A 25,805-nucleotide genomic window follows, 5' to 3' on the forward strand; every position below is an offset into this window, starting at 1 on the left:
CAAAAAATTAGCTGGGCGTGGTGGTGGGCGCCTGTAGTCCCAGCTACTTGGGAGGCTGAGGCAGGAGAATGGCATGAACCCGGGAGGCGGAGCTTGCAGTGAGCCGAGTGCATGCCACTGCATTCCAGCCTGGGCGACAGAGCGAGACTCCGTCTCAAAAAAAAAAAAAAAAAAAAAAGCGATACACATTCAACAGAAGCCCCATCCTTTAGTACTCATACAACCATTCTTTTTTTTTTTTTTTTGAGATGGCGTCTCACTCTTGCCCAGGCTGCAGTGCAGTGGTGTGATCTCGGCTCACAGCAACCTCTGCCTCCCGGGTTAAAGTGATTCTCCTGCCTCAGCCTCCTGAGTAGCTGGGATTATAGGCGACTGCCACCAGGCCTGGCTAATTTTTGAATTTTTAGTAGAGATAGGATTTCACAATGTTGGCCAGGCTGGTTTCTAACTCCTGACCAGGTGACCTGCCCACCTCGGCCTCCCAAAGTGCTGGAATTACAGGCATGAGCCACCGTGCCCCGGTTCTCATACGACCATTCTGTTTTTTCACTTTCAGTACAGTATTCAATTACATGAGATATTCAAAATTGTAACATAAGCTCTGTGTTAGATGATGTTGCCCGTAGGCTCATGGAAATGTTCTGGCACATTTGCAGTAGGCTATGCTAAGTAAGTTATGGTGTTCGGCAGGTTACATATATTACATGCGTTTTTGACTTGTGACGTTTTCAACATATGATGGGTTTGTCCTTATAAGTTGAGGAACATTTGTAGCCATTTCATCGTCTGTGAAGAGGCCTGAGTGGATTTTGTGCTGGAGACCGGTGTGACTCAGCTCCAGTGTTGACTGACCTTCTAACCATGGGCTTGTGACTGAATGTCCTGAGCCTTCATTTTCTTCCCTGTGAGGATTAAAATGAACCTCAGGAAATGCTGGCTTGTCCTCTTTCTGTCAAGCTGGGTTCTGAGGGGGTGAGCCCAGGTAGGAGTGACTTCTGAACCAGCCCAGATTTACAGGCTTGGGCATAGGGAGCCCAGCCTCAGCCTGGGAGCCTCATCTTCCATTAAATAGCTCCTGGCATTCAGGGGAGTGCGTTGCAGCACCCCATTTTTTTTTCATTGAAGTCCTGTCTTCCAGCCAGGCACAGTGAATCACTTGAGGCCACGAGTTTGAGACCAGCCTAGCCATCATGGGGAAACCCCATCTATACTAAAAATACAAAAATTATCTGGGCACGGTGGCGCACACCTGTAGTCCCAGCACACCAGAGTTCAAGACCAGCCTGGGCAACATGGCGAAACCCCGTCTCTACAAAAAATACAAAAATTATCCAGGCGTGGTGGTACATGCCTGTAGTTCCTACTCCTTGGGGGGCTGAGGTAGGAGAATCACTCAAGCCGAGGAGGTTGAGGCTGCAGTGAGCCATATTTGTACCACTGTACTCCAGCCTGGGTGACAGAGTAAGGCCCTGTCTGTAAAAAAAAAAAAAAAAAAAAAAAAAAGTGCTTTCTTCTTCTTCTTCTTTTTTTTTTTTTTTTTTTTTTTTTTTTTTTGAGACGGAGTCTCGCTTTGTTGCCCAGGCTGGAGTGCAGTGGCGTGATCTCGGCTCACTGCAAGCTCCGCCTCCCAGGTTCGCGCCGTTCTCCTGCCTCAGCCTCCCGAGTAGCTGGGACTACAGGCGCCCGCCACCACTCCTGGCTAATTTTTTGTATTTTTGGTAGAGACAGGGTTTCACGGTGTTAGCCAGGATGGTCTCGATCTCCTGACCTTGTGATCCGCCCGTCTCAGCCTCCCAAAGTGCTGGGATTACAGTCATGAGCCACGATGCCCGACCTCTTTCTTATATAATTTTTTTTTTTAATCGGGCAGCCCTCAGAATCACAGCAGATTCAGAAAGACTCCCCAGAAAAGTTCTTTCACTCCTAACTTCTACCCAGCCTCATGGTCACCTCAGCAGCTCTCCTGAGACCGTTACTAAGTTCTCCACAGCTAATGGTAACTCAGCTTGGAAAGAGTTCTCTTGTAGGAGGATGCTGAAGGGAGGTTGCCAAGTGGTGTGGGAAACTGCTTCATGCTTAAGTTCACTTCCATATCATGATACTAAAAGGTATCTAACAGCTGATTTTCATTGCTTTCATTTGTGATCTGCTAGGACCACTTGATCCTTATCACTGCTTTTGGCACACTCCTCATCCAAGAGTTGATCGCAGAGGCAGAGTTCCTTGCCACCAGTCCAGTGGAAGTACAAGCCAACTTTGCTCTCCAAATGGCAGCAGTAGCTGAGCAGGCCGCCCTGCATTCTCTCCTCATAAACATGCTGTTCTCAAGTTTGTCAGAATCCAGAGCTCTCTACTCATTACCCCCTTTTCCAAACAAGCAAGCAAAGCATGCTCTTCCTTTGTTTCCCTTAATTGCCTAAAACATCTCCATGCTCATAGCTGTTGACTCTCTTTGCCTCCTAGTTCCTGTTCCTCTGGTGTAGGATTTCTCAGCCCTAGCACTGTAAACATGTTGGGCTGGATAATCATCTCTTGTATGGGCTGTTTGTGCATTGTAGGATGTTGAGCAGCATCCCTGGCTTCTACACACTAAGTGCCAGTGACACTCTTCTCCCCTCCCCAGCTGTAAAACCCAAATGTCTGCGGACATTGCCAAATGTCTCCTAGGGGGCAAAATCACCCCTGGTTGAGAGTCACTGCTCTATCATTTATTCACTAAATACTGCTGGTCAGCTGGGTCCACTGGCGAACCTCACATCAATAAACCTGGTAATAGAAGCATATTGTTCTTACATTAGAAGTTTACTCTCTTCAGTTATCTCACTGGGCCCTTGAGGGCTTTGGGGAGGAGTGATGGGAAATGGTTTACAATTAACAGCATATTCCAATGAAGAAAGAAAGCATATGATGTCTGCACAACAGAGGAGAGTGTCCACAATGTACAGCTCTTCCCTGGAGCAGTTATGTTTCTCAGGGTGTGCTTTTCCAAGTCATTTTGTGTCTGGTTAGAAGCCACCTTCCCTTAGCATCCAGAGGTGCCATGTAGACTAGGGTTGGTCACAGTGTGTAGATTGCCATTGACCTGCCCATTCCTAGTGTTTGACCTGGTGGTCATGGCACTCTGACCACATCAGTTTTCCTCTCCAAGCCCAGATGGGTTCTCAGAACCCTCCACCCCAAGCTGCACTCATGAGAGGCGGCACTTCTGCCATCCTGATCTAGAGCTTGTTCATGTGGTCCAGACCATTTCTTTGCAGCCCCCTCTCCTGTGTAAAAGCCTTTAGGAAAGTGCAGAGATCCTGATGGATTCCCCTTGACCCTCAGCACGCACATCCTGGTATGTAGTGCTCAGCACTCCGTTGGGGGCTTCAGACTGGAGAAGAGAAAACTGCCCTTCCCTTTCAAGGACATCCTCCAAGGGCCAGAATGCTCAGTTCCGTAAAATTAACTCTCCACTGCCTACTTTTTTTTTTTTTTTTTTAAGACAGTCTCACTCTGTGCCCCAGGCTGGAGCGCAGTGGTGTGATCTTGGCTCACTGCAACCTCCGCCTCCCGGGTTCAAGCAATTCTCCTACCTCAGCCTTCCAAGTAGCTGGGATTACAGGCATGCGCCACCTCACCCAGCTAATTTTTGTATTTTTAGTAGAGACGGGATTTCACTATCTTGGCCAGGCTGGTCTCAAACTCCTGACCTCTAGTGATCCACTTGCCTCGGCCTCCCAAAGTGCTAGTATTACAGTCATGAGCCACCATGCCTGGCCTGCTGCCTATTTAAATAGCAAGCAGTTACAGTTAAAGAAAGACCCTGGCCTGGGGACGCTGCCAAGGCTCCTAATCTGACACTTCTTTCATGTGGACCAGGGATCTGAACTGTGTTTCTTCCAAACTTTTGGAGCTTGCTTCCTTGGTGGTAAGCTAAATAGTGGCCCCCAAAATATACCCCTTTATAACCCCTGTAACCTGTGAATATTATATGACATAATGGACTTTGCACATGTAATTAAATTAAGGATCTTGAGATGAGGGGATTATCCTAGATTATCTGGGTGGACCCCTAAATGCAATCCCAAGTGTCCTTATGAGTGGGGGCCAGAGAGAGAGATTGGACACAGGAGAAGGAGGCAATGTGACTACTGCAGCAAGATGCTACACTGCTGGCTTTGGAGGTGGAAGAGAAGGCCAAAAATGCAACGAACGTAGCTTTGGAAGCTGGAAAAGGCAAGGAAACTGTTTTCCCTTAGAACCTCTGGAGGAAGTGTGGCCCTGCCAACACACTGATTTTAGCCCAGTGAAACTAATTTTGAATTTCTGACCTCTAGAACTGTAAGAGAATAAATGTGTTTTGTTTTAAGTCGCTAAGTTTGTGGTAATGTGGTAATTTGTTACAGTGCAGTAGGAAACTAATACAGGGCTCATCTGCCTCCAGGTACAAGTGGTGGCTTGGCTGATCCCTGTTCTTATTTTAAGGCGTCCCTCTCATGGCACAAGGAGAGCATAGGCCCAGCATTTTCCTGAACCAGTATTTGAAACAATCTGCACTTTGGGGGAACCTGTTGGGGAGTTCTTGGAAGCAAGAGAGAAAGCCTCATATGGTACCCGATCCTTGCTTTGGAACTCTCCCAGCACCTTCAGTGATATCATGAACAAAGAGTTCTTTCAGACCAGTGAGGATGTAGGATTATTAAAATCTGATTCTAATTCCATCTTCCCCTCTCCTCTTCCATTTATTCAATAAATGTTTATTGTGTACCTCCTATGTGCTAGGCACTGGGGATGAAGGGATAAACAAAGCAGATAAAAAATCTCCTGCTCTCGTGGTAACTGAGGTGGGGGAAGTGGAGGGAGCCAGAGTTAAGTCAACAGCATGTGAGATGGCTTCAGATGCTCTCTAGAAAACTAAGCAGAAAGGAGGGTAGTGGCAGTTCCACATAGAGGGCCGGGGAAGGTCTCACCACGAAGGTGACATTTAAGTGGAAAGAGGAGAGTGAACTATTGTGGGAAGAATCTCGCAGGCAGAGGGAAAGCAAGTTCCAAGGCCCTGCACTGGGACACAGCTGAGGTGTTCAACGCATAGCGAGGAGGCCAGCGTGGCTGGACAGAGGGAGGGAGGAGACCAGGAGATGAAGTTAGAGACGAGATTGGTGGCCCTGAAGTGCCATAACAGCTTTTACTTTGCTTGGCATTTTGCCCCTTCTTTCTCCTCTCCTCCCCCTCACACCACCTCACGAGTTTTAGGCCCATGTTCCTCAGTTCCTTTCCATGGGATATTTATCCCATCATACTTAGGGACTACCAGCAGGCAAACATAGTCACTTAAAAATATTAGAAGAGGGGGAAAAAGCAGCCTCCTCTTTCTGAATGATGAAAGCAGTTCCATGGCAGTGTTGGCATGGCACTGTGTATCTAGCAGTGCAGGCTGGCCATTCACCGCGTAGTTCTGGGTGGTTTCTGAGAGGTTCCCCTCCATGGCCTTCTTCAGCCCATGAGGAAGTCCAACCCCCCTGGCCCGCTGTTTCTTTCCATTTCACCCCTCTTGGTCTCCCCAGTGGGACTCCCACAGCTGACTTCTATCCCCACCTGTGTCTAATCCCCTTTCCATGGCTGAGCCGGTAGATAACCTAGTAACGATCTGAGTAGAATATGGCTCCCACATGTTGAATGCATTGTGCTGATCACTACATATATCACTTTGATTCACACAACAACCCTGAGAGGTAGGAACCATTGTACCCCTTTTAGAGATGAGGATACTGAGGCTCAGACTGGTTAGGAAAATTGCCTAAAGTTGCACAGCTAATGAATGGCAGAGCTGGGATTTGAACCCAAGTGATTAAAGCCCATGTCTTTGATCACTACATAGCAGGGCCTTCTAGGAAGGATGGCTGGCTGGATCTAGTTGTTCCAGTTTGGAAAGTACCTGCTTGACTGGCCAGACTGCTGTTGGCTTCAGAAAATAGCAGTCTCTTGTTGGTCACTGAGAAGAGGCAAAATTTTGGCAGGCCTTGGGGCCTCCTGCAGAGTCTCATTCCAGGTCAGTGGACAGAGGAGGCCCTGAGAATAGTCGTGCATACTGGCTCCCTGGATCTGCTCCAAGACAGTGAGCAGCCCCTAGAACCACAAGAGACTGGCCAGCCAAGCTGTGGGCCCGGCCTGTAGGGTGGAAGGAACTCTTAAGAGAAAAAAAAAATCTCTGCTGTGATTAATCAACAGCTTCAGTCTGGTGAAGTGAAAAGAGAAAAGTTGGCCCAGATGTGCACATAGGGAGAGAAATAAGGGAGGGAAATTGCCTTTATTCATGTTCTCCCTTAGGCCAGTCGTTACCCCACGGATGAGATCACCTTCCTTTTACACCAGCCTGCAAGAGGTGTGTAGTGGTAGTCTCATTTTACAGACAAGGTGTAGGATCAGAGAGGTTAACTCGCCCAAGTCAAACAGCTAACAAGTGGTGGAATTGGAATTTGAGCCCTGTTCTTCTCAGTTCAGTAGCCCTGCTGTTCTTGCTGATGTCACCTCAGCATGGGCTCTCCAGGTATGTGCAAATAGTTATGCAAGTGTTGCATCCACAGGCTTGTGAGCAGAGGCTGAAAGGGAGCCAGGGCTCTTGGTACTTGCCCTCTCAACATGGGCCCTGCCTAAGCTAGCAGGACTCACTATACCCAAACCAGCAGTGGCATTATATTTTTCTCTTTTCTTGCACCTTGCCATCCCCGATTTATTTTTAGAGAGCCTTTTCTATTTCTGTTCCCATTTCTTGGCTTGGATGCAGGGGCTGGGGTGCAGGGATGGCGCTAGAAATCAGAAGAGGCAGGCATAGATGGCATCTCACTGGTGGCCTTGGCTGGTCTCTGGGAACTGTGCCCATCTGCCTGCCCTGCTGGCTCCTCCTCAGGCCAGCTGTAGGCCCCAGGGATCATAGAGCTCGGGTAGCTAGAGGCTGGGAGGGCAGGCGAGACAGAGAAACAGCCACACTTCTCATTTCTTTGGCTTCTCAGAGGGGGATGAGCTTCCTCCTGGAACAGAGAAGGGAGTAGCTCACTGCCTGTTTCTCAGGGTTAGGTTACGGACTTCTAGGGAATATGGGGTAGTGCTTAAGAGCCAGACTCTGTGTGGCATGGGGGTGATAACTGTAGACCCTCCACCTCTGGGGATTAAATGAGCTCATACATGTAAAGGCACAGAGGAGGCACTCACTGAATGATGATTGTTTCATTAGTGTCTTTAGACCCTCAGCACCCAGCACCATAGGTGGATGCCAGTCATTATTGGTTAGACCAAACAGAACTTCAAGGCAGCTGGGCATGGTGGCTCACACCTGTAATACCAGCACTTTGGGAGGCCAAGGTGGGAGGGTCACCTGAGGTCAGGCATTTGAGATCAACCTGGGCAACGTAGTGAGACCCAGTGTCTATTTATTTAAAAAAATAAAATAATAATAAAAAAAGAAAAATAACTTTAATGTTATTTTTGTCGTCCTCTTCATCTGAACATTGGCCTGCGTAGGTATTAACCTGAGTCCAGTGATTGTTTGTGGAGCCCCACAGGGTACTTCCCAGTGACAGCAGCCTGGAGTGTGCTCCTGCCAGCCCCTGCCTGGGCCCTGGAAAAGGCAGGGCAGTGCAGCGAGGAATCTTCTGGCCTAAGGATGCCTGTAACCACCAAACCTTATGTTTAGTTTTACACCTTGCTGAGGGTCTGGCTTTTGGATATGAGCTCTGGAGTGGTAGGGGTCTGTGTCCCATGGGGACAGGTGGTTCTGGGTGTTGGGCACGAGGTGATGGAGGAAGGGCCTGCCACTTGCAAGCTGTTTATCTGACTAGTAATAAACAGTGGATGACACCTTTAGGAAACTGTATTTGGGAGCTTTGAAATTAATCAGATGCCACCAATGGCATTTTTAATTTAGTTAAAAATGTTTTAGTTATATAAATAATGCTCATTCGTTATAGATGATTAGAAAATACAGATAAGCACTGAGGAGAAAAAAGTAATATATTATCACACATAAGTGGCTGCTTTGATATATGATTTTTTTTTCTTACCTAGGTTCTTTTCAAATTGTGTATACCTAGTTATTTTTTCTGTCTTTCGAAATGGGATGCTGTTTAACATTTAGTTTTGTGACTTGCCTTTCCCATTTTTCAGGTGGTTTTGTGGTGTCTGCTTGTCCTCCGACCTCCTCTCCCATTTGTGGGAAAGGCATTTGGCCTGGAGGGAGGCACTTGGGAAGAACTGTCTGGTTGTTCCTTGATGTTATTGCCAGACTTGCAGAGGGTAGAGAGGTGCATGAAGTCTTACTCTGCCTCTCCCCATCTGTGTCTCTCCCTGTCCCTGTCCAGCGCCCCATCTGCTCTGCCTACTCACCACTCCTGCCTTTTTTTTTTTTCCTTCCATACAAATCCAGAAAAGGATACCACCTCCAGTCTGAAGGTTTCTTTCTATGGCTTTTAGGGATGAATCTCTCAGGAGTTTAGAAAAAAAGATGCACAGACAGTATATAGGAAGGGTAATGCCAGGGCTGGGGGTGGGGGTCTTGGGAAGAGCAACTGAGAGGAGGGCCTGGGTCCCTGGTGCTGTCTTGAGTCAGTGAGAAGAAGCTGCGTGGGTGATGGGTTGGGGCGGGGTAGGCAGCAGGTGACTGCAGGGACCTCTCTGAAACAGCAAGCAAGCTGGCCAGGAAGACGCCTGGAGAATAAGGGGCCCAGATAGGGGCCAGACATAGGGGAGAAGAAAATGTGTCTCAGTGGCACCTGCTCCTCCACCCTGGCCCCACTCTTTCCATGATCTTTCCAGAGATTCTCTCTTTTTCTGCCTGATCTGCTTCCCTCACCTGGCAGTGCCCAGCCCCAGTAGTTTGACACATCTGGTATATCTGGCTACTGTGCTCTACTGACACCTGTGTGGCAGCAGCTGCACAGCTTCTTGGCATCTCCCTGGGCAGTAGGCAGGGATCCGAGCATAGAGGAAGATGTTCCATGCATCAGTAACTCAGATTCCGTTCCAGAAACGCATCTCAAAGCAAGGGAGAAAATTGAAGATGGGGTATTTTGTGGGGAACAAGCTATGCCTTCCTGTCACTTCTTACAGAATAAAATGGGGTCTCTGGCAGTAGGCAAGGAGAAGGCCTTTCTGAGCACTGAGGGTCAGTGGCTTCTCAGGTCTTTTCTGGGCCACTTTGGCCTGCACACAGGTTGGGCTAGGAATTCATGCTTAAAAGCAGGCTGATTTCCATAGGCTGTGCGTTCCTGTGGGCCTGCCTGGATCATATCTGTTCTGCTGTGATCCCAGGCCTGGTGAGACCCACTGGCTTCCTGTACGTCCCCTCAAAGCCTGCGCCACCGCCTCTCCCTTCACCACTCCCAAGCTATAATTAAGTTCCCATGTGAAACTGTATCCCTCAGCTGACACACGCTTGTAACTACAGCCCTGGCCATTGGACGGCTCATCTGGGGTGACTTCTGGGGCTGGTGCCTCAGCCTCCAGACGCTCTCCAGTAGGTCTGAGTAGGTGGTGTGGACCCACCAGGAAAGGGTGGATCCAGTGAGGCGGGGGCCAGGCCTTGCCCAAGAGTCAGAAAGTGGGAAGTCACGGGGGAGATGAAGGGCGAGTGAGCAGCTAGAAAGTGCCAGGGGACACAAAAATGGGGGAGACAGGCAGCCTTTTGGGGCTGGAGGGCATGGACAGGGTGACTGATGCCTGAGCCACAGGCAGAATGTGAGCAGTTTATTTTATTTTATATTCTACATATTTTTATAGCATAAAATTAAGATATAGTTCACATAACCAAATTCACCACTTTAAAGTGTGTACTTTGATGGTTTTTGTATATTAACTGTGTTTTATATATTATATTAAATTAATATATTTATATATTATATTAACGGTTTTATATATTATTTTAGCTGTGTTGTTTATATATTATATTAACTGTGTTCTATTAACCACTAATTCCAGGACACTTCTATCACCTAAAAAACCCTTTACCTGTCAGCAGTTACTCCATCCCTTGGCTGCTAATCTACTTCCCTTCTCTATGGCTTTCCCTATCCTGGACATTTCATATGAATGGAATTATATAATATGTAGCCTTTTGTGTCTGAACAATTTCACTTAGCATGTTTTCGAGGTTCATCCATGTTGTAGCATATAATAGTACTGTATTCCTTTTTGTGGCTGAGTATTCCATTGTGTGTATATATTCCATTTTATTTATTGGTAAATTGGTGGACATTTGGGTTGTTTCCATTTTTTGACTGCTGTGAACATTCATGTACAAGCTTTTGTGTGGACATATGCTTTAGGTTCTCTTGGGAATATACTTAGTGAAATTGCTGGGTCATATAGTATTCCATGTTTAACTTTTTTTTTTTTTTTTTTTTGAGACGGCATCTTGCTCTGTTGCCCAGGCTGGAGTGCAGTGGCACGATCTTGGCTCACTGCAACCTGAACCTCCCTGGTTCAAGCAATTTCCCTGCCTCAGCCACCTGAGTAGCTGGGATTACAGGTGCATGCCACCACGCCTGGCTAATTTTTTTTTTGTATTTTTAGTAGAGACGAGGTTTCACCGTGTTGGCCAGACTGGTCTCAAACTCCTGACCTCAGGCAATCTCCCCGCCTTGGCCTCCCAAGTGTTACTCTTTGTTTTTTGTTTGTTTTTTTTTTTGAGACGGGGTCTCACTCTGTCTGGAGTGCAGTGGCGCGATTTCGCCTCACTGCAACCTCCACCTCCTGGGTTCAAGTGATTCTTCTGCCTCAGCCTCCCGAGTAGCTGGGACTACAGGCGCATGCCACCATGCCCAGCTAATTTTTTGTATTTTTAGTAGAGACGGGGTTTCACTGTGTTAGCCAGGATGGTCTCGATCTCCTGACCTTGTGATCCACCCGCCTCGGCCTCCCAAAGTGGTGGGATTACAGGCGTGAGCCACCGCGCCCGGCCCCAAGTGTTACTCGTTAGGCAGATACCTGATACCTGTCTGCTATACTCACTGGTCTGCACCTTGCTTCACTTATTATATCTTGGCCATCTTTGCATACCAGACATGTAGAGCTTCCTTATTCTTTTTTTTTTTTTTTTTTTTGAGATGGAGTCTCGCTCTGTCACCCAGGCTGGAGTGCAGTGGCGCGATCTCAGCTCACTGCAAGCTCCACCTCCTGGTTCACACCATTCTCCTGCCTCAGCCTCCCGAGTAGCTGGGAATACAGGTGCTTGCCACCACACCCAGCTAATTTTTGTGTGTGTGTGTATTTTTAGTAGAGACAGGGTTTCACCGTGTTAGCCAGGAAGGTCTCGATCTCCTGACCTCATGATCCGCCCGCCTCGGCCTCCCAAAGTCCTGGGATTACAGGTGTGAGCCACCACGCCCAGCCCCTCATTCTTTTTTTTTTAACAGTTGGCTCATCCATTGTATGGATGTGCCAGTCTCTTCTTTTTTTTTTTTAGACAGATTTTTGCTCTGTCACCCAGGCTGGAGTGCAGTGGCATGATCTCGGCTTACTGCAACCTCTGCCTCCTGGGTCAAGCGATTCTCCCGCCTCAGCCTCCTGAGTAGCTGGGATTACAGGCATGTGCCATCATGCCCAGCTGATTTTTGTATTTTTAGTAGAGACAGGGTTTCACTTTGTTGGCCAGGCTGGTCCTGAACTCCTGATCTCAAATGATTTGCTCATCTCGGCCTCCCAAAGTGCTAGGATTACAGGCGTGAGTCACCATGCACGGCCTGGATGTGCCATTCTCTTATTCATTGATGAATGTGCAGGTGACTTCTAGTCTTTTTTGGCAATGAATAACCTTGTCATTTTACACACAGATAAACAGATTGACAATGCTTCTGTGTGATAGGTGCAGTAATGGAGATAGACACTGGGGAACTAGGGAAGGCTTCCAGAGGATAGTTAAGAAAGGCTCAGGGTGAGTGAGCGCTGGTATCTGAGTGGGCCTTGCAGGCCTGGCAGAATTTCAGCAGGCTGAGATGTTGTAGGAAGGGCAAATATGACTGAAGAAAAGAACAACAGCTCAGGTGTGACAGGGGAAATGAAGAGTATTAGTTATCTATTCCTGCATAACAAATTACCCCAAAACTTAGTAGCTTAAAACACTATCTCGCAGTTTCTATGGGTTAGGAGAGATTTACACAAATATGTGAATACCAGAAGGTGAGGATTGTTGCCAGCCATTTTAGAAGGCTGACTCTAATAGCAAGTTGCAGTAAGGATAGGATTGGCCAAGGCAACAGATGGAGCCATGATTGTGGACAATCTTACATACTTAGCTGAGAGGTTGTCAGAGATTGATCTGAGAACAGTGTGAGCCATGGAAGGTCTTTGAGCAGGAGAATAATGTGATAGTTGCTATACAGGACAATTAATCTGATAGCATTTATGCTAGAGGGGTCAAAATGGAGAGAGATACACAGGCAGAGGCCTAGATTAGGAGATGGCTATAGTAGTACAGGTGAGAAATTCCTGGCCTGTAGTACTAAATACTTTTTTTTTTTTTTAAGACAATCTCACTCTGTCACCCAGGCTGGAGTGCAGTGGCATGATCTCGGCTCACTGCAACCTCTGCCTCCCGGGTTCAAGCAATTCTAGTGCCTCAGCCTCCTTAGTGGCTGTGACTACAGGCGTGTACCACCATGCCTGGCTAATTTTTCTATTTTTAGTAGAAATGGGGTTTCACGGTGTTGGCCAGGCTGGTCTTGAACTCCTGGCCTCAAGTAATCCACCCACTTTGGCCTCCCAAAGTGCTGGGATTATGGGCGTGAGCCGCTGCATCCGGCCTCTGTATTAAATACTTTAGCTGCATATTCTTTCTTCGAAATGACCACAAAAAGAAGGTATTACTGATTAATATGCATATGGTCTTGCGTATGGCCAGACTTATGACTTGCGTATGGTCATAAAGGTAGTAAGTTGCAGAGCAGCACTCAGACCTGCCTGGCTTTGATGACCGTGCCTTGATGGCACTGGAAGTGGAAAGGTGGGGGTGACTGGGGAGGTGAGGTTTTGTCCGTTCCCTGGATGCTAAAAGGAAATGGAGGAGTGTAAGAGGTTGATTCTTTGAACCTGGATGGCTGGGGCAAAGATAACACTGTAACAGGAAGAAGAGAGGCCGGAGGGAACACTGATGTGATGGGAGAAGGTGAGTGATTTGGGAACATGGGGCATTTGTTGGCAGGGTCCTTCCCAATTATAGGGCGAGTATAAATAGTTCCTGTGCTTTGTGTATGAAGAGGTACCCTTGGCCCAAAAAGACTCTAAATGTGGAAAAAGGATATGGTGGTGTGGTGGTGGTTTGAACATTGGGTTTGCGCAGATAGTGATGGTAACTGGCACTGGCCTGCGCTTCAGACTTTCACAGCCCGTTCACTTCTGTTGAAACTCACACAACCCTATTCAGGTTATCATCATTCCCTATCTGATTGATGAGGAAACTAAGGCTCAGAAAAATCCATTTGCTCAAGGAGAAACAGTGTTTCAGTTACCTACTGCTGTGTAACAAATCACCTGTGAAACTCAGTAGTTTAAAACAACCACCATTTATCCTTTCTCTTGATTGTGTGAATTGGGTCCAGATGCTTGGTTCTGCCCCACATGATGTCGGCCAAGCTTGCCCATTTGTCTGTGTTTAGCTGCACTGTAATGTCCAAGGCAGCTTCTCTTTGCATGGCCTCTAATCCTTCAAGAGTCTATCCTGAACTTCTTGCAGCATGGCATCTGGGGGCCAAGACAGTGGAAGCCAGTCGTGTTGAGGCCTGGGCTCACGTCCCAGAACATCACCTCAATCATGTTCTATTGGTCAGAGCTGTCACTGGGCCAGCCCAGATTCCAGGTTGGGAACTAGACGCCACCTCTTGATGGAAAGAGTGGCAAAAGGTTTGTAGCCATATTTAATCCACAGACAGCCGGTAGTGGATACCTGGATTTGAACCCAGATCTGTGTGACTCAGACTCACAGTCTGTCATGCCATACTGCATCCCTTTCTGCTTCTGGTTCCTTGGGAGTTGCAAAGCTTGCTGGCTCTTTTGTGTGGTTGGAGAGGGCTGATTTTTCTTGTGGTCTCCCACAGTGGAAGTTGTACTAGTCATCCCCCTTTTCACAGATGAGCATCCAAGATCACTGTGTCTTAGGGAACCTTCCAAAATAGGTTTGCTCTAGGGATTTGCTAGCTTCCCCCAAGCTTCAGCAGTGATAGCCAGACATGCATGGAATTTCCCTGTGGAGTTTCCCTTTCTGCGCTTAGTGGCCTTTTGATGCACAGTGCTCACTGGGTGGGATTCCTGCTGCATTGTAGCCAGATGTGGAGGCTAGCCCTATTTTGAGTTATCCCAGATGGTATCCAGCCCAGTGAGTCCCATACTTGACTCAACTGGCATATTCACCAGGGAGTTTTGGGGAAAATGTAGATTCCTGGGCCTTCCTCATGCCTATTGAATTAGAATTCCCAGGGATGGCGTCCAGGAACCTGCCTTTAAAGCTCCCCATTGATTTGGGAGTACAGCCTGGTTGGGAAACCAATGACTTCCAGAGGCTGGCACCCTCCCTCAGCCCAGTCATTTCAGAAAGATGCCTTTGAAGTCACTGATCAGAGGAGGCCACATGGGAGAGAATGATTTGTCCAGAGGGCCTCACACTTCACAACCAGGAAGTGACTCCTGAAAGTGTCCAGGAAGTTTCTATTTGAATCTGCTCAAATCTTTGATGTTGTTTTGCATGCTTTGATAGTATCTGAGCTTTATGGTGGCCTCTGGGTGTTTTTCTTTGAAAGTGTTTGCAGAGAGTAGCAAGCTCTTCCAGCAGTCAGCAGACACTCCCTAACCAGGAGCTACTTGGTCTGATTTATTTGAAATATGAAATTCCTTTGCTTGGCTGTCTGGTTGGTATCTTTGGTGTGAAGAATATGACAACCCTAGAGATACCTAGGTTAGCACAGCAGTTGGACCTTTCTAGTCTTGTGCCTTGGACATACTTAAGGTACACTTGGAAAAGTAGATTTTAAAACCCTGGATAATTTGGTTTGCCAGTTAAATAAACTTCTATATTTTAGAATATTTGGAAAATAAAGATAAATATAAGGAAGACCATAAAATTACCTAGAACTTTCCTCTCAGAGAATTTCCACGGTTAATGTTTTGAATGGCTATTCATCCTTCCCCTCATGACCCTTCACACCCCCTCTTTTTGAAAACCATATTGAAGTCATATTGAATGTTACTTTTTAGCAGTTTTGTTGAGATGTAAGTCATAAAGTCCACCTGTTGACAGTGTGCAATTTGATGGTTTTTAGTATTTACAGAGTTGTACAACCATCACCACAATCTAGTTTTAGAACATTTTCTTAGTCCCAAAAAGACATCTTATAATCCATTAGCGTGCATTCCCGCCTCGATGCCCCATCCCGCCCTTACTCCAGCCCAAGACTACCACTCATCTGCTTTCTCTACGTACAGATTTACCTGTTCTGGACATTTCATATAAATGGGATCATACAATATGTGATCTTTTGTGATTGGCTTCTGTCACTGGACATAATCATGGTACTGTTTTGAAACCTGCTTTAAACATTTATATCCTAGCAATTTGAATATAGTTTTCAAGAATGCACTTTTAATAGCAGAGCGGTATTCATTCTTATGAGAATATCTAATCTTATTTAATCAGTCCTGCCAACAGACGTTTAGGTTATTTCTCATCTTTTGCTCTTATAGCCAGTGCTCTCTGCACTCAGAAATTATTTTGTTGATTTATTGGTTAATTGTCCGAATCTGTGACTAGAACAAAAGCTCTTTGAGAACAGTCACCTTCTCTGTCTCCCCTACTACTTGGCATAGTTCCTGGCACTTGGTAGGTATTCAGTTTTTAAAGGATGTGTATGTGTGTATATGTGCAAATTTTGAATGAATCAAAATGTAAGGATATTAATAAATGTTGCCATATTGCCAAATTCTAGAAAGTTGTACTAATTTACCCTCTCACTGCAGTATAAGGGTACCTGACTCCCTGTTCCTTTGAATCTGGGTTAATTTGTACAGGAAGTCCTGTGATCTTTTGAATGATGATATTCTCTGACCTGTCAACCAGTTAGTTTGGGAATTGATGCTGTCTGTGTCCTGACCCTGTCTGTGGGCCAGGAAGGGTCTGGCTGTTGGGAAAGATGGTGGTGTGTGGGAGCTCTAGCTGCCCGGGTCCTCATTGTGGCTCCGTGGTATTGTATCGTTTCCTGTTGCCCTTAGAAAGGCTGCATCGTGTTGTCTGGCCACTTCCTCTATTGTGTGCAGGCATGTTGGGGAGTGAGTAGAGTTGGGTGGATAAAGTATGTGTAAGAAGATACTGGTTATGGCTGCTGATTGGAGTGCCTTTTGAAGTCGTCAGGAGAGATGTCACTCTGGAAGTTCAGTGTCTTCAAAAATAGAAATGAAGAAATGCTTCCAGGAAGTCTGATGCAACTGGCCCAGTCTGCCCCCATCTGAGGGTGGTGGGCACCCACATGGCTGGTAAACGCTTCATGAGTCACCCACTGGCCACAGTCCCTGCTCCTCTCCACACACTTCCTGTCTGGAAAAGCCTGCTACCCGCCCATGGTGAAGAGTCACCCCAGAGAACTTGCCAGGGATGCAGGGCAGGTCTTCCCAGGTCACAGCAGCAGCCTCTCGCTCATGGGTTTCACAGCAGTTCTTCTCCCCAAGATGAGTTGTGGTAACTGCTTTTTAGATAAATATGTGGAATGGATGGTTGGGATTGGAAAAAAAAAGAGCGGCTAGATGGCAAGGCAGCTCTTGTGTGTAGCAGGGAGCTCACACGAGCCCCATGGTGGGGCAGTTAAGGCCCCAGAATTCACCTTCTCCAGCAGCTGGCTGCTCATTCTTTTCTTCTTCTCGTGGTTTTCCCATCACATTTCCCTTGGGGTTTCTTCCAGGCCTTCCCCTACTCACCCCACACCCTCTCAGAAGATGCTGCCTCATGTAACTTGGCCAAGCTCTCAAGCATTACAGATGCCTTTACCTTCTTTTCTTTGCATCTTAGAAATCACTCACATGTTGGTCTCTCTCACATAATTGCTTTTTATTATTACTTCAGCGGTTGCCAAGTGCCTACTCTATGCCTAGTACCTTGTTAGACTCGGGAATGATGCAGAAGAAAGAGACTGGACCCTGCCCCCTAGGAGGGTAAATGTCTGTTCTCCCATGGCCTCTGTTTCCCTTCCTCTCTGACTGCGCCTTTGCTGCCCTGGTTCCTCTTCCTCTTTCCGCTGCCTGAGTGTCAACATTCTTCAGGCTTCTGCCCTCTCTCCTCTCCCTCCACGCGCTTGTCCCTTCCTGTGGCTGTGACCATCTGCTCTTATAGCTACCAAATACTAAAGTTCTTTTCTCCTGAAAACCAGGTCCCTGTGTCCACCTGCCTGCTGGAGTGTGCAGCCTTAAAAGCAGAGTCCATCTTTGTCTCTGCTCTTTGCATATCCCCTTTCTGTTAATAATCCGTCATTCTCTCAGTTTCCCGGAGCCTTACTGACAGCTTTAAACCTCATTCCTCTGCCATGCACAGGTCGTTCCTCCCGTTCTTTTGAGTGTTTCTCCCCACTGATTTTCCTGCCTGTAGTGAGTTGGATGGTTGCCCCTCCAAAAGATATGTCCAAGTCCTAACCCCTAGAACCTGTGAACATGACCACCTTGTTTGGAAAAAAACTCATTGCAGAGATTCTTTCCTATGCTGCAGACGTACATGAACCTGTGCTCATTGACCTCCTCTCTGGGCCTGGCCTTGTTGGTCTCTGGCTTGAAATAGTGACTGTACTTCTAGTCCACACAGTGATTACATATTTATTACTCTGTTTGAGCTCCCCTAGTCCAAAGGCAAAGTTCACTGCCTGCCCTTTCCACTAACTCCTAGGTCAGACTTGCTAGGTTGTGTGCACAGCAGCTACAAGTGTGGTTTCTAAGGTGGGTCTGGGTTTGAATCCTGGTTCTGTCATTTATTAGCCAAGGGCCTTTGACAGATTGTAACCTTTCTGGGCTTCAGTTTCCTCTTCTGGAAAATGGAGCTAATGGATTGTTGTGAGAATTAGATTGCATAGTGTCTAGCACTGTGCCTGACACTCTGAGCTTTATTTTTATTTATTTTTATTTTTTGAGACGGAGTCTCGCTCTGTTGCCTAGGCTGGAGTGGAGTGGCATGATCTCGGTTCACTGCAACCTCCACCTCCCAGGTTCAAGCCATTCTCCTGCTTCAGCCTCCCGAGTAGCTGGGTTTACAGGCTCCCGCCACCATGCCCGGCAAGTTTTTGTATTTTTTAGTAGAGACGGGGTTTCACCATGTTGGCCAGGTTAGTCTTGAACTCCTGACCTCAGGTGATCTGCCCACCTTGGCTTCCCAAAGTGCTGGGATTACAGGTGTGAGCCACCACGTCCAGCCCACTCTGAGCTTTATAACCAGAGAGATGCTGTGGCTAGCCAAATCGCTCAACCTATACTTGGAGGATCCCAAGCTTGGATGAGTGTAAGAGCTGTGACTTAAATCCAGCCTACTTGTATGTCATTCTGCCACAGTTGTCTTTGTCTCTCCACAGTTTGTCCTGGAGCTGGGCATGGTGAGGGCTAAGACAATGGATTACAGAGCTACAGGTCTAGGAGGGCATGTGGAATTATGCCTATATGAGATAGATGACAAAGTGGGTAAGAGCATGTGCTCTGGAGTTAGACCTGGGTTCAGATTCAGGCTCTATGACCCTATCTCAGTGACCTTGGGAAACTTTTCTTTGCATCTCTGGGTCTCAGTTTTCTCATCTGTAAATTGGGAATAACAATGGTTCATACCTGTCTTAGTCTGTGCTGCTATAACAAAATTCCTGAGATGGGTAATTTATAAACAAAAGAAACTGATTTCTCACAGTTCTGGAGGCTGGGAAGTTCAAGATCAAGGCATTGGCAGACTTGATGTCTGGTGAAGGCTGCTGTCCACTTCCAAGATGGCACCTTGTTGCTGTGTCCTCCAGAGGGGATGAATGCTGTGTCCTTACATGGCAGAAGGGTGAAAGTGGCCCAGCTAGTTCCCTGGAGCCCTTTTATAAGAGCACTAATCCGTTCCTGAGGGCAGAGCCTTCATGACCTAAACACCTCCAAAGGCCACACCTCTTAATACCGTTGTATTGGGGATTAAGTTTCAACATGAATTTTGGAGGGTTCACAACATTCAAACCATAGCAATGTCTTATAGAGTAATCGGGATGATTAAATGAAAGAATGCCCATAAAACATTGAACACATGCCTGACTCTTTGTAAACAATAATTATTAGGTATCGCTATTATAGAGACCAGCTTCTGCTGTGGAGAGTGTTAAGTGCCTTGATGCCACAAGCCACTGGACACGCAGCTGCATGGATCAATGTACCCCTGTAATTATGTAACAAGGGGACATGGAGAAAAAAACATTTCCAATGTTGCCTCCTCTGTAACATGATTGTACCCCTAAACTGCACAGAGGAGCTTTCTGTTCTTTGAACTCCATAGCTGTTGGTACGTCTCTTGTGGGGTTTGCCATAGTCTGTCTTATACTATGACTGTTCTTCACTCTACGGTACATTTCTTTCTTTCTTTGTTTCTTTCTTTCTTTTTTTTTTTTGAGACAAAGTCTCCTTGTGTCATCCAGGCTGGAGTGCAGTGGTGCAATCTCAGCTCACAGCAGCCCTGACCTCCCCAACTCAAGCAATCCTCACACCTCAGCTTCCCAAGATGCTGGGACTGCTGGCATGTGCCACCACACCTGGCTAATTTTTTTTGTATTTTTTGTAGAAATGGGATTTCACCATGTTGCTCAGGCTGGTCTTGAACTTCTGGGCTCAAGCAGTCCACCCATCTCAGCCTACCAAAGTACTGGGATTGCAGTGTGAGCCACCACGCCTGGCCTACTGTATGTTTCTTGAGGTCAAGATTGGGCACTGGGTAACTGATTACTTGAATTGAACCTTGGGATTCAGCCAGTGAAAGTGGTCCACCTGGCAGTAGTGAACCTCTGGCTCCTGACCTCTGCTGCTGGTGAATCTGTTTCTCCTATGGCTGCACAGACACAGGGTTTCCTGCCTCCAAAGAGCTTTTCCACTCTGTACATGGGACCTGAACCGGCTCCAGAAACCTTGGAGCCTGGCACCACTTTTCACATCACCCAGCAGGAGCAGAACTTAGATGGACCAGGCATAGATGGGAAACATGGGTTTATTGCTAAGGTCATGGTTAGTTCTCGGCGGTGGGGCGGGGGGGTTTAGTGGGCAATTGCTTTTTGGATTTTTGTTTTGTTTTAGAAGTAAAAAATATGGGCCAGGCGCGGTGGCTCATGCCTGTAATCCCAGCACTTTGGGAGGCCGAGGCGGGCGGATCACAAGGTCAGGAGATTGAGACCATCCTGGCTAACACGGTGAAACCCCATCTCTACTAAAAAATATAAAAAATTAGCCGGGCATGGTGGCAGGCACCTGTAGTCCCAGCTACTCGGGAGGCTGAGGCAGGAGAATGGCGTGAACCCGGGACACAGAGCTTGCAGTGAGCTGAGATCGCGCCCCTGCACTCCAGCCTGGGCGACAGAGCGAGACTCTGTCTCAAAAAAAAAAAAAAAGAAAAGGAAAAATATGTACATTTTTAATAGTGGTAGTAAGAATTTTCTGTAACTACTTACGGGACATCTTCACTGAGGGGTCTCCAGAGCTCCTAAAACTCAGCACTCCCCCAGTGATTCTTACATTTTCCTGCCAGACTTGCTCTTCTTCCCACAATCCCCACCTTAATGGAATCATCCACATCCCCCTGGTCACCTGACAGTTGCCCTCTATTTCTTTATTCTCCTCAGCCTCTTTTAATCAGCCACCAAGTCTTGTTTGTCCTTCCTCCCTAATGTCACTCCTGTTTTTTGCCGTGAGGTCTGATGGCACTAGTGCTGCCTGGGGTTGCTACTGCCTCATCTCTTCAACCTTTTTGTGTCACGATGTTTAGGAGTTTCTTTCATAAACAGAATGTGGCTGGATTTAAATCAAATCTGACAATCTGTCTTAAGTAATTTATGTACATTTTTGGGATTTAACTTAACGTATTACTGTATTATATTTTTTAGTACTTTCCATGTATTTCCATTTTTGCCTATTTTTCTCCTTCCGAGTTTTTTTTTTTTTTTTTTTTTTTTTGGAGATGGAGTCTTGCTCTGTCACCCAGGCTGGAGTGCAGTGGTGTAATCTCAGCTCAGCGCAACCTCTGCCTCCCAGGTTCAAGTGATTCTCCTGCCTCAGCCTCCCAAGTAGCTGGGACTACAGGCACGTGCCACCACACGCGGCTAATTTGTATTTTTAGTAGAGACAGGGTTTCGCCATGTTGGCCAGGCTGGTCTTGAACTCCTGACCTCAGGTGATCCACCCACCTCGGCCTCCCAAAGTGCTGGGATTACAGGCATGAGCCACTGCTCCCGGCCCGGAATTTTCTTTATTTCTATACATTTTACTTCCGTTGTTTTTTTCTTTTTTGAGACAGGGTCTAGCTCTTTTGCCTAGGCTGAAGTGCAGTGGTGTGATCACAGCTCACTGTAGCTTTGACCTCCTGGGCTCAAGCAATCCTCCCACCTCAGCCTCCTAAGTAGCTGAGATTATAGGTGCACACCACCATGCTCAGATAATTTAAAAAAAAATGTTTTCTAGAGATGGGATGTTACTGTGTTGCCCAGGCTCGTCTTGAACTCCTCACTCAAGCCCTCCTCCCACCTTGGCCTCCAAAAGTGCTGGGATTACAGGTGTGAGCCACCTTACCTGGCCTTTATTTCTGTTCTTACTCCAACATTTTCTCATCTTTTCTCCCATCCTTTTACTTAGAAAAATGTTAAAATTAGAGGAAATAGTACAATGAACATGAGTATTCTCTTTAATCTTATTCAATTAATATATTTCTCTGTATATGTATATATGCTTTTGTTTGGAATCATTTGAAATTAAGTGTGGATTTGTTCTCCATCTTCTTGCTCAGGATTTGGTGTGCTGCTTTTATCTGAGGACTCATTTATAAAAGAAAAAACAAAGAAAAAGCCTTTTTACTTTAAAATGATTGTAGATAAACTTAGCTTTACACAGAGTTTCTGTATTCCTTCACCCAGCTTCCCCTAATGTTAATCTCTTACATTTAATTCTTTCTTAAGTTCTGGAAAATTTCAGCCATTGCCTCTTTGGCTTTCTCGTTTTCTCTACAGTGGCCTCTGGAATGCCTCTTAGACATATTGTTGAGCATTTTACCACCAAAGTCTCTATATTTGTTCTTTCTGTGTTCCTTTATCTGTTTAATCATCCAAGTTTTCTTGTGTAGTTTCTTTGAGACTGTCTTATTTCTGATTCTTGGGATGCTACTTCTCTTTTTGTGTCTGAGGCTTGCCCCTCTTGGTGGTTTATTTCCTTGTGTGGTTTGTAACTTTGGGTGTGAGTTCATCTCCAGGAGGGATTCTCTTTTCTGGCTGAGACTTGGGTCCTGAATTATGAAAGTATACCTCAGAGCAGCTTGTTTGCCTCTGGCGGGGCCATGAGTGTTTCAGTGGTCCTGGCTCAGTTTTTGTTCACTGCTTAGTGCGGCACCCCTTTACTACCCTAGTAGTGTAAGTTCAGTTTTATATCCATGGGCAGGACTAGCTTGGTGGCTTAAGAAAGGGTGACCTCCCGCCGGGCATGGTGGCTCACACCTGTAATCCCAGCACTTTGGGAGGCCGAGGCAGGGGGATCATGAGGTCAGGAGATTGAGACCATCCTGGCTAACGCGGTGAAACCCCGTCTCTACTAAAAATACAAAAAATTAGCCGGGTGAGGTGGTGGGTGCCTGTAGTCCCAGCTGCTGGGAAGGCTGAGGCAGGAGAATGGCATGAACCCGGGAGGCAGAGCTTGCAGTGAGCTGAGATCACGCCACTGCACTGCAGCCCGGGCGACAGAGTGAGACTCTGTCTCAAAAAAAAAAAAAGAAAGGGTGACCTCCCACCCATACCTGACCCACAGAGCCTTGGAGAAGTGTTCAGCTTCTTGTTGCTTTCCTTTACTGGGCAGCCCTTTGAGGCTCTCTTCTTGATACTGGGGCTCAAAGCCACAGGCAGGCTTTAAACCGCTTCATTTGTGGGTGCGAAAGTCCACAGGCCATTGTGGTGTCAGTTCCACTCACTGTTTATGTTTCAATTCTTCTCGCACATAGGCATTTCTCTTTCCAATTTGGCTGCATGTCTACGGACGTCATTTGTTTTATTTTATCTGGTATTTTTCTGTGATAGTGGTGGAAAGGGGAAGCTCTTTCACGTTAATTTAGTCCCGTATCCTACTGAAAGTTTGTTCAAATGCTTAGCGTGTCATATGAAGCTTTTCATGATGCAGCCCATTCTACCTCTCCTGCATAAACTTAGCTCTTAAATTTTACACTTCAGCAAATTGAACTATTTGCATACCATGTACTGTAATGTTTAAAAGCACAGGTTTTAGGGTCCAGCTGTTTGGCTTGGAACCTGTCTTTTCATAAGGTATGATTTTGGACAAGTTACTTATCCCTTCCATAACTCAGCTTTCTCATCTGTAAAATGGCAGCGTCCGGCATGCAGTAACCCTGATCCCTGTTGGCTGCCTCTGTGGTTGCTGCCCCCAGCAGTTGAGGCTGCCAGGCCTCTGCGCAATTGCACTGTTTATTCCTTTGCTGGAATTGCCTGTCTCCCCTCCTCTCCTTGATCCCTCCCAGGAGAGCAGCCTTTACTCCTTCAGAGCTTGGGGTCTCTGTCTGTAGTAACTATCACTCTGTGGGTCGCTGCTTGTTTACGTATCTTTTTTTTTTTGAGACAGAGTGTTGCTCTGTCGCCAGGCTGGAGTGCAGTGGTGCGATCTTGGCTCACGGCAACCTCTGCCTTCTGGGTTCAGGCCATTCTCTTGCCTCAGCCTCCCACGTAGCTGGGACTACAGGCGTGCACCACCATGCCCAGCTAATTTTTGTATTTTTAGTAGAGACGGGGTTTCACCCTGTTGGCCAGGATGGTCTCCATCTCTTGACTTTGTGATCCGCCCGCCTCGGCCTCCCAAAGTGCTGGGATTACAGGCATGAGCTACTGCGCCTGGCCACGTATCTCCTTTTTTCAGCCGACTCTGACCCCCTTGAGAGCAGGGTCTTGTTTTTCTTGGTACTTGAAACTCCTTACATTCTACCTGTCATTTGGTGGGCATTCAGTGTTGGTAGTTTAATTGCATTGAATTTCTCTGGCTGAGTAGAGGCAAGTGCTGGGAGTGGTATGGGACGCAGAGGCAGGGAATGACAGCAGGAAAGCTTGTTTTTTGGCACATTTTGTGCCAAGTTGATGGAAATGTGAATCAGTATGGCTGGGACACAAGGTAACAATTCTTAGTCTAGCTGAGGATGCCAGAGACTTAAAACAAGCCAGTGGCCAGAAAAAGCCACTAAATCTTGCAAATTAAAGTGGTTTCCAGACTTAAGAATGCATGCCCCACATTCCCTTCCCAAACTCAGCGTCTCTGAGTGCCAGGTGGAGGAATACAAACTAATTATAATCCTAGTGGGCCCTGAGAATCTTTAATTTTAGAATAAGGCTGCACTTCTGAAAGGCGCAGTTGCTTTAGGAGTAGGTGACTCTGTATGCCCGGGGCCTCCGAGGAGACCAGGATGTGAAAACTCAGTACCTGGCATTTAGAGCTGTGTCACCCATCACTTCTGACCTCGTTAAGATTTCTACCCTACTGCGACTTAACAACTAAAAAGGGCAGATGAGATAGGTCCGGGGCAGAGCTTAATGGCCTGTGTCATTCTCCTCAGCTTTGCCTGAATTCTCTGGACTCTTGAGACTCTATCATAGGAATATTCTCAGAAGAGAAGGCAATCGAACCTTTAAAGATCCCCAGATTATCCATCAGATAACAGTCTCATGAGAGTGATGAACAATGACAGCACCAACTCTCAATTCCCTTGGCTGGAATTTCAGGAATCAGCTTGAACTCAGAGGTGGGCACAGGGTTAGGGCTTGGAGTAGGCGTCTTTTCTTTCTTTTTTTTTTTTTTTTTCTTTTTTGAGATAGCGTCTCACTCTTGTTGCCCAGGCTGGAGTGCAATGGCTCAATCTCTGCTCACTGCAACCTACGCCTCCTGGTTTCAAGCGATTCTCCTGCCTCAGCCTCCCGAGTAGCTGGGGTTACAGGCATCCGCCACCACGCTCGGCTAATTTTTGTATTTTTAGTAGAGATGGGGTTTTACCATGTTGCCCAGGCTAGTCTCGAACTCCTGACCTTGTGGTCTGCCCACCTTAGCCTCCCAAAGTGCTGGTATTACAGGCATGAGCCACCGCGCCTGGCTTGCAGTAGGCATCTTTGCCCAACCCACGTGAATCCCATTAGTTCTTTCTTGACAGCTCTCAGTCTGTGGTCATATATTAAGCAACTATGTGTTCAGTACTGTGCTGGGTGCTATTGCTGAAGATACGGAAATAGTAATGCCACAAGTCCCTCTTCTTAGAGAGGAGAGCTTGCACTCTAGTTGGAGAGAATTCCTAGCACACAGAAAGCTGCAACCAGTGGTGCCCAACAGTAATGCTGTCTGATGCCACTGCATGCAAGTGTGTCCCTTTGACAACTTGGTGCTTTTGCCCAAAAGGAGCTGTTCTCTTTCTGAGGCTTGGACTATTCGTTTGTTTTTTCTCAGATGACTTGCTGGCACTGTTACAGACTGGTCTGAATTAACTAGGACTACCTTTTATCTGTTTCTGAGGAATAGCCCCAAATGTGCTCTCTCTTGGTCTTTATGAACTTTTCCTTTCTTCCATTTCTCCAAATTAT

General features: G+C 46.8%; 1 protein-coding gene across 30 annotated transcripts in view, besides 4 other annotated features; it reads left to right on the plus strand.

Moving 5' to 3' along the window:
- The window catches only part of PPARD (peroxisome proliferator activated receptor delta), an 85,621-nt gene that overhangs the window by 11,518 nt on the left and 48,298 nt on the right, over window positions 1-25,805 (plus strand). The gene's annotated exons all lie outside the window — the stretch shown is intronic.
- Window positions 6,453-7,349: an enhancer, noted in NCBI's record as "OCT4-NANOG-H3K27ac-H3K4me1 hESC enhancer chr6:35328305-35329201 (GRCh37/hg19 assembly coordinates)". NCBI's record gives its function as "activates a minimal SCP1, AML or CMV promoter by ChIP-STARR-seq in naive H9 embryonic stem cells {active_cell/tissue: H9 hESC(naive)}" and the evidence as "EXISTENCE:reporter gene assay evidence [ECO:0000049][PMID:30033119]".
- Window positions 16,285-16,534: an enhancer, noted in NCBI's record as "active region_24400". NCBI's record gives its function as "activates an Ori minimal core promoter by ATAC-STARR-seq in GM12878 lymphoblastoid cells {active_cell/tissue: GM12878}" and the evidence as "EXISTENCE:reporter gene assay evidence [ECO:0000049][PMID:35858748]".
- Window positions 16,565-16,644: an enhancer, noted in NCBI's record as "active region_24401". NCBI's record gives its function as "activates an Ori minimal core promoter by ATAC-STARR-seq in GM12878 lymphoblastoid cells {active_cell/tissue: GM12878}" and the evidence as "EXISTENCE:reporter gene assay evidence [ECO:0000049][PMID:35858748]".
- Window positions 16,984-17,243: an enhancer, noted in NCBI's record as "active region_24402". NCBI's record gives its function as "activates an Ori minimal core promoter by ATAC-STARR-seq in GM12878 lymphoblastoid cells {active_cell/tissue: GM12878}" and the evidence as "EXISTENCE:reporter gene assay evidence [ECO:0000049][PMID:35858748]".

This window comes from Homo sapiens, chromosome 6, assembly GCF_000001405.40.
Source record: "Homo sapiens chromosome 6, GRCh38.p14 Primary Assembly".
Classification (NCBI taxonomy): Eukaryota; Metazoa; Chordata; class Mammalia; order Primates; family Hominidae; genus Homo; species Homo sapiens.